Source organism: Homo sapiens, chromosome 6, assembly GCF_000001405.40.
Source record: "Homo sapiens chromosome 6, GRCh38.p14 Primary Assembly".
NCBI classification, from domain to species: domain Eukaryota; kingdom Metazoa; phylum Chordata; class Mammalia; order Primates; family Hominidae; genus Homo; species Homo sapiens.
This window is the reverse complement of record NC_000006.12, coordinates 89,746,466-89,761,059: the sequence shown is the minus strand read 5'-3', so window position 1 is coordinate 89,761,059 and position 14,594 is coordinate 89,746,466. Positions and strand designations below refer to the sequence as shown.

The window sequence follows — 14,594 nt, the reverse complement described above, 5'->3', positions numbered from 1 at the left end:
TGAGTAGCTGGGACTACAGGTGCATGCCACCATGCCCGGCTAATTTTTTGTTTTTGTATTTTTAGTAGAGACGGGGTTTCACCGTGTTAGCCAGGATGATCTTGATCTCCTGACCTCGTGATCTGCCAGCCTTGGCCTCCCAAAGTGCTGAGATTACAGGCGTGAGCCACCGCGCCTGGCCAAGGCTTTGTACTTTCATTACTCTGTACTCCCTAACTCTCCAGCCTCTGCTAACTACCATTCTGCTGGCTGCTTCTTTGAGTTCCATTGTTTTAGATTTCACATATAAGTGAGAACATGCAATACTTGTCTTTCTGTGCCTGGCTTGTTTCACTTAGCATAATATTCTCTGGTTCTATTTATGTCATAGCAAATGACAAAATTTATTTCTTTTTTCAAGCCAAATAAGATTCCATAGGATTCCATTGTTTGTATATATGTATATATACAACATTTTCTTTATTCATCTGTTGATGGAGACATAGGTTGATTCTATATCTTGACTATTGTGCATAGTGGTGCAATGAACAGGGGATTGCAGACATCCCTTCGACATATTGTTTTCAGATTTTTTTTGGGAATACCTGGAAGTGAGATTGCTGGATCTATTACTATTTTTAAAGATGCAATTGATGACAGCTAGTGAACTCTGGATTCTTTCTCTCACCATGTGTGTCTCCGGGGAAAGAGTGTGTGGATGTGAGAGAGGGATTTGGACCCGTTCACTTCATTGCCCCAATTTTAATCCCAGGGCATGGACATCTCTACTGTTTGCTGTCCTGTGACCCTGTAGGAAGGATCAACTTGGTTAAATATTTGTGGCTTGGTCATTTAAAAAAAGTTTGTTTCTGTGACAGTCCTTAGATGAAGCCCTAGAGGAAGCAGGAGTCTTACTTGGTGATGTTTTAGTAACAGAGAAGGTCTACTCAACCATACATTATGGGTGTGGAAAATTTGGTCATCAGAATTATTATTATTATTTTTTTTTGAGACAGAGTCTGACTCTGTCACCCAGGCTGGAGTGCGGTGGTGCAATCTTGGCTCACTGCAACCTCTGCCTCCTGGGTTGAAGCAATTCTCCTGCCTCAGCCTCTGGAGTAGCTGGGATTACAGGTGTGTGCCACCACGCCCAGCTAATTTTTGTATTTTTAGTAGAGACGGGGTTTTGCCATGTTGGCCAGGCTGGTGTTGAACTCCTGACCTCAGGTGAGCCACCCACCTTGGCCTTCCAGAGTGCTGCGATTACAGGCATGAGCCATTGCCCCGGGCCCCAGAACTATTCTTTTTTTGTTTTTGAGACGGAGTTTTGCTTTTGTCACCCAGGCTGGAGTGCAATGGCAGGATCTCAGCTCACTGCAACCTCCGCCTCCCAGGTTCAAGCGATTCTCCTGCCTCAGCCTCCTGAGTAGCTGGGATTAAGGGTGCGTGCCACCACGCCCGGCTATTTTTTGTATTTTTAGTAGAGATGGGGTTTCACTATGTTGGTCAGGCTGGTGTCGAACTCCTGACCTCCAGTGATCCGCCCACCTCAGCCTCCCAAAGTGCTGGGGTTACAGACATGAGCCACCACACCCAGCCCAGAATTATTCTTAATAGGATTATTTCTAAAACCAATTAAATCTAGGAAATAGAATTTGAAGAGATAACACCAGTGTACTAAAGCCAAGGGATGTTGCATTTTAATCTTCAGTAGGTGTGAAAGGCAGTGTATGACAATCACTAAACACTCTGGGATTTAGACATTTGTCTAATCTTGGTATAGCCTGACCCTATATTTATTTTGAGTTTTAATAGTCACTTGGGTGCCTTTAAAGACCTGACTACAATGTAAGCTATTTACCTGACCATCCACATAATGAGAGGATTTAGTTTATTGCATCTCTCTGTTAGGCTCAAAGATATTCCCTTGACCTTTTTGGACATTTAAAAAATTAACTTGGCCTTAACTCTGCCTATCTGCTGTCAGCCAGTTAAAGTATAGGCCCATCAAGTAGGAAAGATTTGCCCCGCCTCTATTTCTAACCCTGCTTGCATAACTGTTCTTGGCAAGTGTGCCTTTATTTGACACATTGTTAACATTTTATTTTATCTTTTTCTAGGGTACATTAGCTCAGGCTGTAAAGAAAGGAGAGTGGATCTTGTTGGATGAGATTAACTTGGCTGCTCCAGAAATACTAGAATGTCTGAGTGGTTTGCTTGAAGGATCTTCTGGATCCCTGGTGTTGCTGGATCGAGGAGACACAGGTAGCACTTGAATCCCTTGGGATTTGACTTGGTGTCAAGCCCTGTGGCCACTTTAGAGTGAGATTTTTTGTTGTTGTTGTTAGAAGGATGACATGGGCCTCCCAATGGAATTTGTTCATTCTTTAGATATTAATTTTCTGCAAAGTGCATTAAAGTGTTGGGTGGTATGGGGAATGCAAAGAAGAATAATATAATTTGACAAGGTGTTTGAGTTGTGGATAATAGACACACTTATAAAATAACAGGTGAATGGTTGATAAAAGATAAATAACAGTGAATAAACATACCGCAAAAGACTGCAGTATAAGATTAGATTGAATACATAGGTCTGGAAAGTTATTTCAGTGGGGTTTCAGAAAAGACAAGGATGGTGTGAGCAGCCAGCATCAGGCTGGCTGGGCCTGGGGTTCTGTGGAATTAGATAATCATACCTTTGTTGAGAATTTGTAATTTTCTCTTAACAGAGCCACTGGTTCGGCATCCTGACTTCCGTTTATTTGCCTGTATGAATCCAGCAACTGATGTAGGCAAAAGAAATCTCCCACCAGGAATAAGAAACAGGTGAGGGTTTGGTTCTTGGAGACTTTCCTTTTTTGCAACAGGTTCTTGCTCTGTTGCCCAGGTTGGAGTGCAGTGGCGTGATCTTGGCTCACTGCAAGTCCCCGGTTCAAGCAGTCCTCCCACCTCCCACCTCCCACCTCAGAATCCTGAATAGCCGGGATTATGGGTGCATGCCACCACACCCAGCTATTTTTTTATTTTTTTTCTGAGACAGAGTCTTGCTCTGTTGCCCAGGCTGGAGTGCAGTGGTGTGATTTTGGCTCACCACAACCTCCACCTCCTGGGTTCAAGCGATTCTCCTGCCTCAGCCTCCTGAGTAGCTGGGACTACAGGTGCATGCTACCATGACTGGCTGATTTCTCTATTTTTTTTTAGTAGACACTGGGTTTCACTATGTTGGCCAGGCTGGTCTTGAACTCCTGACCTTGTGATCTGCCTGCCTCAGCCTCCCAAAGTGCTGGGATTACAGGTGTGAGCCAGTGCGCCCGGCCTCAAGTTTTTGTATTTTTAGCAGACGTGGGATTTCGCCATGTTGCCTAGGCTGGTCTCTCACTGGGCTCAAGAGATCTGCCTGCCTCGACCTCCCACAGTGCTGGGATTACCAAGACTTCGTTTTTAGATTCTCTTTATTTATAGATTGGTAATATTAATGTAACCGGACTTTAGAGCAATGCTTGAAATTGCCGCTGATAGAGGAATCTTTATTACCTTATTTGTCATATTCCTCTGCTCTCTGTAGGTGGTAGGCATATGGGAATCTTCAGAACACTGGAGAATTTTTCCCTTTGTGTTAGTATGACAGTGGATATTGTTGAAAATAAAAATCTTTCCTTCCTCAGGTAATCTTTTGGCTATTAGAAAAATTTCATAACACGATATAACAGGAAAACATATACCAGTATACGCATATTTTAGGAACACAGTCCTCTTTGGGTGAGGCTAATGATTTGAAAAGGCCTTTAAAGTTTCTTTTATTTTTCGCCACTAAGCACTGACATGAACAAGGTACTTAGTTGTTGGTGTTTTATGTATGTAACATTTGGGAAAAAATAAATTAAATGACCAGATTTATTGTTGGTAACCGTTTACTTCATTTTGAATTTTAAAATAGTAACTTTATTAGATCCTCTCTCTTCATTATAAAGCAATAAAAGCTTGTTAGGGAAGCTTTAGAAACTACATTAAAGTAGTTGTTTTCTCTTCAACCATTTTGTCTTTGATGATGAGGGGGCTTGTTTTTTATTGCACTTATTTTTTTAAATAGGCGATTATGATAAAAAACACTTGAAAATGAGGATAATTAATTCTTATTTTTGTATCTTTTTTTTTTTTTTGAGATGGAGTCTCCCTCTGTCGCCCAGGCTGGAGTGCAGTGGCGCAACCTCGGCTCACAGCAGGCTCTGCCTCCTGGGTTCACGCCATTCTCCTGCCTCAGCCTCCCTATTAGCTGGGACTACAGGCACCCGCCAACACACCTGGCTAATTCTTGTATTTTTAGTAGAGACGGGGTTTCACCATGTTAGCCAGGATGGTCTCCATCTCCTGACCTCGTGATCCACCGGCCTCGGCCTCCCAAAGTGCTGGGATTACAGGCGTGAGCCACCGCACCCGGCTTTTGTATCTTTTTCTTCTTGTAAGGACTATACGTAGAAGACTTATTGCATAGAAGAAGCAATAATGGTATATTTTTGGTAATGGTTACATTATCCTTTAATTATGCTAAGTTTCTATATCAGGTTGAAAGACATTTTATACTACAAGCAGTTAAAATGAGCTGACATAGCTTCTTCTGTTTCATGTTTTTCTATTGTCAACATAGTTATATTAACTTCCTAAAAAGTGTTTATTATGTATTGTTTTACAGGTTCACAGAACTTTATGTAGAAGAATTAGAAAGCAAAGAAGACTTACAGGTTCTTATTGTAGATTATCTGAAAGGATTGAGTGTGAACAAGAATACAGTGCAAGGAATCATAAAGTAGGTTCCCTTTTGTATGTCTTTATAAGCTCTTTCTCTGAACATGAAAATGTGCTACTCGTGCACACACACAAATATGTATTCTTTTTTACTTCTAACTTGAGAAAACTGATGGCAGGATTATTATTTAGATTCTCTTGTAAAGTTGGAACCTGATATGAACTCCTTTAGGTTTTTCTAAGGAAATTACATAGAAAGCTATGAATCATTACCTATGAGAAGATATAAACCATCAGATAATGCTCTCCTGATTACCTCTATATTCATAGCTGAGGGTTTGAATTCTTGGAGATGTACATGGCTTGCGTTTTGAATCTGTCTTGAAGAAGGTTGCTTTTCTATTTGCAATATTTATACTAGCTATGTGGGATGTAAGGAGAAAAGGGTTAATATAATTGATTGTGTCAGGTTTGGAATTAATGGAAGCTTAGCCTAATAAATAATAGAGTAGTTACGTGGCTTGTGCTTTAATTTGAGACTGTTATTCCTGTTTTTTGTATGCCATATGGACAACATGCAATCTTTTGTGTCAGACAACCTCAATTCTAGTATTGGTTCTATGAGAAACTAATTGTGTCATTCTGGGCCAGTAACTTAATTGTGTGTTCTCCAGAAAGAAATACAACATGTAAAAGGATTGAAATAGGGTGATATTAATGTTTTACTGTGTGTTTGTGTATTTTTTCTCTTCCTTAATACAAATACTTATTGAGTGCCCTGGTGCTGTGGTTATAGCTATGAGTAAGGCAGACAAAAATCCTGGTTCTTCTCATTGAGCTTTAATTCTAGAGGAGTCAGGTACTGTAATTTTAGGTTGTGATAAGTGAAAACATATAAAGCTGAGTAGGGTGTAAGAAAATGAAGACTTGGAGTTCTATTTTTTTTTTTTTTTTTTTTGGATACAGGAGCTTTGCTTTGTTGTGCAGGCTGGTCTTAAACCCCTGGCCTCAAGTGATACGCCAGCCTTAGCCTCCCAAAGTGCTGGAATTACAGGGTTGAGCTACAGCACCTGGTCCTGAAGTCCTGTATTAAATAGATTAGTCAACAAGGCATGTGTTTAGAATGCTTCAGAATGGTTTACCACAACACACCCTAAATTGGAATACTTTTTGGTAGCCAAGAATATTTGGACAAAAGTGTAAATACGTATAGTTAAGATTCCAGATGCTAAAGGTAAACTTTTATAAGTGCCTTATTTTATCTAAAGAGGTAGATAAAGGATAAAATTAGGCACTTATAAAATACTGATAGTACAAGTAGTATATATTCCATATATTAAAAACTCAGTTCCAAAACATAGGTTCTTTCTACACAAAAATATTTTGAAATATTTTGAAAATATTTTGAAAATATTTGTGTATTTTTGCTATCTACAAAAATATTTTGTTAGGTAGCAAAGAGGCAAGATAAAGCTCATTTGGGCAGGAACTTGAATTTCATCTGTGATGCATGCATACTTGGTTTCATTTGATCTTGTGGTGCTAATTGATCATGAATTTCACAAAGTGCAAGACCTTCATGTTTCAGTCTGAAACTTTTCCCATCCTGTCATCATCTGGACTTCTAAAGTGTGGTAGTGACAATAGTAATGGCCATCGTATCCTCCTGCTTTTTAACGTTTTGTCAGTACTAATTATAGCCATATTCGTAGCCTTTCAAAACACCATGCGTTGTTTGCCATGTCTTTGTTCATCCCCATTTTTGATTGCATAGGAACTTTCTTTGTCCCTTAAGCTTGAACAGACTCTGGAACACAGAAGCTTCTCACCTCTCTTTATCAGTACCTTTTTGCTAGAGGAATTGCACATTGCACTTCCCAGTTTCCCCAAGGAAATAGATAGGTGTTCATTTTTTATTTTGAAAGATATCTCTGAGTATGTGAAAAGTAGGTTTAAAAGAGACTAAGATATTTTGATGCATGCCCCAGGAAGTTGTGTGCATGATCATTTCTGATCTAAAAAATGTCCTTTGGGTTTTCTGTAGAGAATTGATAATACTGGATACTTATTAGTAAATAAAATTGCCTGACCTTTATTCTATTTGTAGCTTCTACACAGCTTTGCGGAAAGAGTCTGGGACCAAACTGGTGGATGGCACTGGCCATAGACCTCACTACAGCCTTCGGACTCTGTGCCGGGCCCTGCGATTTGCAGCCTCCAATCCATGTGGCAACATTCAGCGCTCACTCTATGAGGTCTTTCTGAAGTCTCTTTGACTGGATATGAGCTTAATGGATGGGTTCATGGGAAGGAAGGAATAGGGATGCATATGCCAGGTTGCCTGTGCTTTCCAGTTAGTCAGATCAGCCCATAATACCTCTTACCAGATTTACCTTGCCCTTTTAAATTAAATATTTTACTTTTTATTTTAAAATTTTTATTTTTAATTATACATAGAGACAGGGTGTCACTGTGTTCCCACTCTGGTCTCGAACTCCTGGGCTCAAGCTGTCCTCCTGCCTTGGCCTCCCAAAGTGCTGAGATTACAGGCATGAACCACCGTGCCTGGCCTACCCTTCCCTTTATCTACCACCTTACTATATTTAAAAGTTGGGAAGCAGCATCACCCAAGAGGTTAAATTTTGTTCTGGAAATAAGTTTGGTTGTATTGCAGAAGGTTATTTAGCATTATGCATATTTGTCTTTTCTTTCTAGGGTTTTTGTTTGGGTTTCTTAACACAGCTTGACAGGGCATCACACCCAATAGTTCAGAAGCTCATCTGTCAACACATTGTCCCTGGCAATGTCAAGAGTCTGCTGAAGCAGGTATGTTCTTTTGTTATTTTTGACTTGTTACACTTGAAAGGCTGAATTACCAAATTTTCAGCTGTTTGGTTTTTTTTTTTTCACATAACTTTTTAATTATAAAGGTAATCTGTTGCAAAAAGTTTAAACATTACAGAAACATATGTTTAGATGGTGAAAGTTTCCAATAAGCGTGCTCTTTGGAGATTTAAATACTGTGGATAATCTTTCCAGATAAATTGTATAATGTATATATTTTATTTTCTTACATATCCAAATTTTGATATGTATATGTTGATTTATTGAGGTAAATTGTAAAATTGTAAAAAATTGTAATATGCGTTTAATGTAAGTGGGACTGTCTTATAAGAATATTGTTTTTTTGTTTTGTTTTGTTTTGTTTTTTTTTGCAGATAGAGTCTTGCTCTGTTGCCCAGGCTGGAATGCAGTAGTGTAATCTCAGCTCACGGCATTCTCCCCTTCCGTGGCTGAAGTGATTCTCCTGTCTCAGCCTCCCGAGTAGCTGGGATTACAAGCGCATGCCACCATGCCCAGCTAATATTTGTAATTTTAGTAGGGACTGGGTTCCATCATGTTGGCCAGGCTGGTCTCGAACTCCTGACCTCATGATCCGTCCACCTCGGCCTCCCAAAGTGCTGGGATTACAGGCGTGAGTCACCGTGCCCGGCCCATAAGAATATTCTGTAGCTTTCCTTTTTAACCTATCTGAATCTTGGATATATTTTTGTTTTTGTACCAGAGTTCATTGTGACATGCCTTCTAAGGGCCACATAGCATTTCACTGGATGGGTACACCATAGTTTCACTATTTGCATAGTTTAACTACACAGTTAGGTATAATCTATACCTTCTGATTGATGGTTGGGTCTTTTTTGAGGAGGCAGTAGTGGGGGCACTGTTAGAAACAATAGCCGTTTTGGATTTGGCAGGAAATTACAGAATAGCATGGGACTGAAAGAGGCTGAGAGAAACTTGCTCACAATCAACATGTAAATTGGCTTGTTTACTTGTTGATTGCTTATTCATTAGGAAGAGAGAGCCCTTGGGACTTGGAGTTTCTTTGGACTCAGCCTTTTAAAAAATCGTACAAGTAACACATGCGTAAATACTTTCGGTAAATTGTAAAAACATTGAGTAAAGACTCAGGTTTGCTTTTACCATTATTGTAATCAAATACCAGTCTCTTCCAGTTGGTCTTTTTGTGTGTGTATGCCTCAGGGTGTGATAGAAACTTAAAAAGATCCTTCCTCCCCTCCCCCTATTGCTTCTCAACTCAACTGAGGAGGCCTTAAAAGCAGGGCCTAGACGTGTAGCTTGAAATCTGGGGACCAAATGCTCTAGAAGAGTACTTTTCCATAGTTATAGATTTGACCACCATTTAACCATTTTTTTACTTATAAAAATGGGAATTTGTATAATCGAAACTAATAACTTAAACCATATCTCAGCAAAGTGATGCCATCATCCACAATATTATCCTTAATGGGCTAGTTGCTCTGAAAAGTCAGGTTTACTTTTAATGTCTTCTAGGCAATCCAGAGTATAATAGTGCAAAACCTCCTTCCTTACTACAACACTGGCCCTTTTTCGGGGAACATGGTTTATATGAAATTCATGTTTTTGATAAAAATAATTGGAGTGGGCATTTTGATATGTGAGAGAAGAGAACTGGTACATAAACCTTCTGGGAATTTGTTTTGATTCAGCTTTTTTCCAAACCCACCTACTCCACTTCAGTTTTAAAACCAATATATAACACCATTTTGTTCTCATTCCTCATAATTTTATGTTCATATTTCATCCAGTTTTAATGTTGAAAGTATGCAGAACAAGACAGCTTGTTCAACAAGTGGCTGTTTTCCTACTTTATGCCCTTCTCTGAAAGAATGTACAACTGTGGGTTATTCCTTGAACTTCTGTGTCTTTCAGCCTATTCCAGAGCCAAAAGGAGGTCGGCTTATCCAGGTTGAAGGCTACTGGATTGCGGTGGGAGACAAGGAGCCTACAATAGATGAGACGTACATTCTGACATCTTCTGTGAAGCTGAACCTGAGAGATATAGTCCGAGTTGTCTCTGCAGGGTGTGTGGGCTTTTTTCTCGCTGCCCCGAACTTGATACAGGCATAGGCATTGATGACATTTTGGTCTAACTTCCTTAACTTTCAAAGAGCTTTATTCTTATTCATTGGCCAACTGAACAATTACTTACAAAAGTCAGTACTATAACTTTTTCCTGGTAGAAAACTTTGTTTCTAGTTGTGCAACTTTGGAGGGAGCACTATGGATGCAGATGATTTTATCTATCTTTAAAGTTATCTTTTGTTATTTTGCTGATAAATACCACAGATTATTCAGTAAATGGCTAAAAGTTCTACTTACAGTTTCTTACAAATGTTGCCAGCATAGTTGGAATTGCTTTCCTTAGTATTTTTTGAGGAATAATGTTTACAAAGATACTTCTCAGTGTATAGGAATAAAAATGTTCTTCTGCTTCTTGCATTTTCCAGAAATGTAAAAAGGGGAAAAAAAAGGAAAAAAAAATGCTCTTTTAATGATGCTGTTAAATGATGTCGTCATTCTTTTAAAAAAAAAAAACCAAAATAATACTTGGCCAGGTGCAGTGGCTCATGCCTGTAATCCCAGCACTGTGGGAGGCCAAGGCGGTCGGATCACTTGAGCCCAGGGTTTTGAGAACAGCCTGGGCAACACGGCAAGACTCTGTCTCTGCAAAAAATACAAAATTTAGCTGGGCTTGGTGGTGCATGTCTGTAGTCCCAGCTACTCAAGAGGCTGAGGTGGGAGGATCACTTGAGCCTGGGAGGTCGAGGCTGCAGTGAGCTATGATTGCACCACCATACTTCAGCCTGGGCAACAGAGTGAAACCCTTTGTCAAACAAAACAAACCAATACTCAGTTCTGGTTTCTCAGCTTTGTAATTTTTTGTTGTTTTAAGTTGCTTAATTGGCTAATCTTTTACAGAACCTATCCAGTGCTGATTCAGGGAGAGACATCAGTTGGTAAAACAAGCCTGATCCAGTGGCTGGCTGCAGCTACTGGCAACCACTGTGTGCGTATTAATAATCACGAACACACGGATATTCAGGAGTACATTGGTTGTTACACGTCTGACTCCTCAGGGAAGCTTGTCTTTAAGGAAGGTAGGGTTAAGATTCCATTCCATGGACATAGGTGTTTATTCTTTCACACACATTTCCTTAAGTAATATTCTTCATCCTTTCCAATTGAGGCACATGGACCTTTGCTGTAACAGCCGGCTTTTCTTGATGCCTGAGCTAAGATAGTTAAGGGGTGATGCATAAGGTGCTGGCTTTCTTTAGGTTCTGCTAATCTTGCTGGCTGTATACAGGACTAGGGCCAATTTTCAAGAGGGGAATTGAACTGCTGCTTTATTTTCTAGGAATTCAGAGAATGGGGTTAGTGTTAGCCAAAAGGAAGTTGGGAATAGTCAACAGAATGTGGTGATTTAAATGAAATTAGACTGCAGGGGAAAGATTACACAAGAAATATGAGGTATTTTCAGCCTTGGCTTCTTTTCTGTGGGGAAAAAAGGGACTATTTTAATTGAAAATTGTTCCTCCTTGATCTGCAGTGTCATAATTTGTTTTGAGGCAAGACTAGCTACAGAAAGTAATTTGCTTTGAAATTTGATGATAACCTAGGATTTGTTGATTTGTACATAATGCATTTTAAAACTTTGTACTGATTTATACACTAGTTCTTGCTGTTTGTTTCTTCCTAGGTGTTCTTATTGATGCCATGAGAAAAGGCTATTGGATTATTTTAGATGAATTAAATTTGGCCCCTACTGATGTGTTAGAGGCGCTGAATAGGCTGTTGGATGATAACCGTGAATTGCTAGTAACAGAAACACAGGAAGTTGTTAAAGCACACCCTCGGTTTATGCTTTTTGCCACCCAAAATCCCCCAGGACTTTATGGAGGCAGAAAGGTATGTAGCATTTGTCTCCTTCCTTCAATTTGTTAACACATCAGATAGTAGATTTTTCGTAGTAAGAATGAAATGTTTTTACTTCTCCTTTAATATTTTATGGTGAATGTCAGAGCCTCCATATTGGAAATTAAAAGGCACCTTTTACTGCATTCTTCCTGTGCTTTGTCTAGGTCCTTTCTAGAGCCTTCAGGAATCGGTTTGTGGAATTGCACTTTGATGAGTTACCTAGCTCCGAGTTGGAAACAATCTTGCACAAGCGGTGTAGTTTGCCACCCTCCTATTGCAGCAAGTTGGTTAAAGTCATGCTGGATCTTCAGGTACTTAGTTTCAAATGGAATGTATTGATTATACTTGGTGATCAAAATTTCATGGCTTCTTTTGTTAGAAAAAAGAATCTGTCTGTTGATGTATTTTTCCAAGTAGAGATTTTTTTTTATTTTTTATTGTTTTTAATTTTTTTATTATTTATTTTTTGCAAGACACAGTCTCACTCTACTCTCCTGGCTGGAGTGTAGTGGCACAATCATAGCTCATTGCAGCCTTGACCTCCTGGGCTCAGGTGATCCTCCCATCTCTGACTACTCACTCCTTAGTAGCTGGGACCACAGATGTGCACCGTCATGCCCGGCTACATTTTTTTTTTGTAGAGACAAGGTTTCGCCATGTTGCCCCGGCTGGTCTCGAACTCCTGGGCTCAAGGGATCCACCCACCTTGATCTCCCAAAGTTTTGGGATTATAGGTGTGAACCACAGTTCTTGGCCTTCAAGTAGAGGTCTTTTAAATGCTTCCCAATAATATATATTTTTAGTTTTTTTTTTTAATCAATCAACAATTTTACATCATTAAAATTTTTCTGATATTTACATATGAGGATTTTGTATTTGTGTATAATATTGAAGCATTTTGTTTAGAATGTAATTTGGCTTAGGGAAAACTGGTTTTTGGTTTTTAAATGGATATAGTCCTTGAATGGACATAATTAAAGAGATCCATTCTTTGTGGCTCCCCCTAGTCAACTGCAAAGCTACAGCTGATCTTTAAAAATTCCATTTATCTTATGGGGTTAAAAGTTTTCTTTATCAGAAAGTATACATTGTCAAACTTCTTTTTAGAAAGCTAATAATAATGAAGACTCCTACCATTATGGTTCCACATTGTTTCACTAATCTTCCTGCATCTTTGCCACCATTTGCATTACTTTTTGTTTGTTTTTTGAGACAGAGCCTCACTCTGTCGCCAGGCTGGAGTGCAGTGGCGCTATCTCAGCTCACTGCAACCTCCGCCTCCCGGGTTCAAGCAATTCCCCTGCCTCAGCCTCCTGAGTAGCTGCGACTATAGGCGTGCACCACCAGGCTTGGCTAATTTTTTGTCTTTTTAGTAGAGACGGGGTTTCACCATATTGACCAGGATGGTCTCGATCTCCTGACCTTGTGATCCGCCCGCCTTGGCCTCCCAAAGTGCTGGGATTACAGGTGTGAGCCACTGCGCCCATTTGCATTACTATTAATCATCTTTTTTCTATGTGGCATAAGAAATGTGGAATTCCATTTTATGTTCTTAATTTAAACATGAATTTGAACATTTTTCCTCAGAATATTACAAGTTATTTTCATTAAAAAATTAATCTTTTTTTTTTTTTTTTTTTTTTGAGACGGAGTCTCGCTTTGTCGCCCAGGCTGGAGTGCAGTGGCGCAGTCTCGGCTCACTGCAAGCTCCCCCTCCCGGGTTCATGCGGTTCTCCTCCCTCAGCCTCTGGAGTAGCTGGGACTACAGGCACCCGCCACCACGCCCGGCTAATTTTTTGTATTTTTAGTAGAGACGGGGTTTCACCATGTTAGCCAGGATGGTCTCGATTTCCTGACCTTGTGATCCGCCCGCCTTGGCCTTCCAAAGTGCTGGGATTACAGGCTTGAGCCACCACGCCCGGCCAAAAAATTAATCTTATTCAGTGGAATGAAATCATTTAAATGGGAGCATAAATTTGTTATGAATTTTATATGCATTGTACTAAAAACTTACCATGCATTGCAGCTGATGCCCCTTTTCATTTGTTTTGATACTTCAACAGTCCTATCGCAGAAGTTCTTCAGTGTTTGCTGGAAAGCAGGGCTTCATCACCCTTCGTGATCTGTTCCGATGGGCTGAAAGATACAGATTGGCTGAGCCGACCGAGAAGGAGTATGACTGGCTACAGCATTTAGCCAATGATGGTGTGTTTTCAATCAAATGCTCTCAATATATAGTTATGTTAAATGTCAAACTTTTTATTAAAACAAATCTTGCCTCAAATTGTGATTGATACATACATTTGACTAGGTATTCCAGAGAGCCTGTTTCCCTCCAGTTCTAACAGCTTTTGTAAGTGATCTTATTCCTGCAGGCCTCCATGCTAATAAGGACTGGTTGCTAAGGTTTTCTTACTCTTTGCTTCAGGTAGCCACATGTGGGAGTCAGGATATGGACATAGCCTCTTTGGGAGTTAGGCAAATGGTTGATGGTAGCTTTGTGGGCCATTTTTCTGCAGTGTCACCACAGGTAGTCTGGCTAGTGCTTTACAGACATACAGAAAGCTGATTTGTCAGAAAACATCAGCATTCTGAGAGAAAAAAATTATATAACCTGAGACTCAGGTTTTGTTGTTTTCCTTTAATGCATGGGAAAAATTTGTTACTGTTTGTGATAGGATACACAGTGTTTTGGAATCTTCTGATTTGAAAAGTGCTGATGATAGGATACAAAGTGTTTTGGAATCTTCTGATTTGAAAAGTGCTGATGATTGATTAATGGGCTAGTTAATAAGTAAGAAGAGTATGTAAAACTAGTACAAGAGATTTTTTCTCTACTTGTAAAGAATATTTACATAGAGGAATACTTTTTTAAAAACTTTTTTTCTTTCTTTCTTTCTTTCTTTCTTTCTTTCTTTCTTTTTTTTTTTTTTTTTTTTTGAGATAGAGTCTCCCTCTGTAGCCCAGGCTGGAGTGCAGTGGCACGATCTCAGCTCACTGTAACCTCTGCCTCCCGGGTCTGGGTTCTGGTTCAAGCAGTTCTCCTGCCTCAGCCTCCCAAGTAGCTG

The 14,594-nt window shown here is 39.7% G+C and overlaps 1 protein-coding gene across 1 annotated transcript in view; it reads left to right on the top strand.

Moving 5' to 3' along the window:
- The window catches only part of MDN1 (midasin AAA ATPase 1), a 177,297-nt gene that overhangs the window by 58,735 nt on the left and 103,968 nt on the right, over positions 1-14,594 (top strand). The window contains exons 18-27 of the mRNA NM_014611.3: positions 2,100-2,244; positions 2,709-2,805; positions 4,670-4,783; positions 6,830-6,977; positions 7,438-7,548; positions 9,478-9,629; positions 10,528-10,706; positions 11,309-11,517; positions 11,691-11,837; positions 13,590-13,731. Of these exons, the coding sequence (NP_055426.1) occupies positions 2,100-2,244; positions 2,709-2,805; positions 4,670-4,783; positions 6,830-6,977; positions 7,438-7,548; positions 9,478-9,629; positions 10,528-10,706; positions 11,309-11,517; positions 11,691-11,837; positions 13,590-13,731 (1,444 nt within the window). The remainder of the gene's footprint in view (positions 1-2,099; positions 2,245-2,708; positions 2,806-4,669; positions 4,784-6,829; positions 6,978-7,437; positions 7,549-9,477; positions 9,630-10,527; positions 10,707-11,308; positions 11,518-11,690; positions 11,838-13,589; positions 13,732-14,594) is intronic.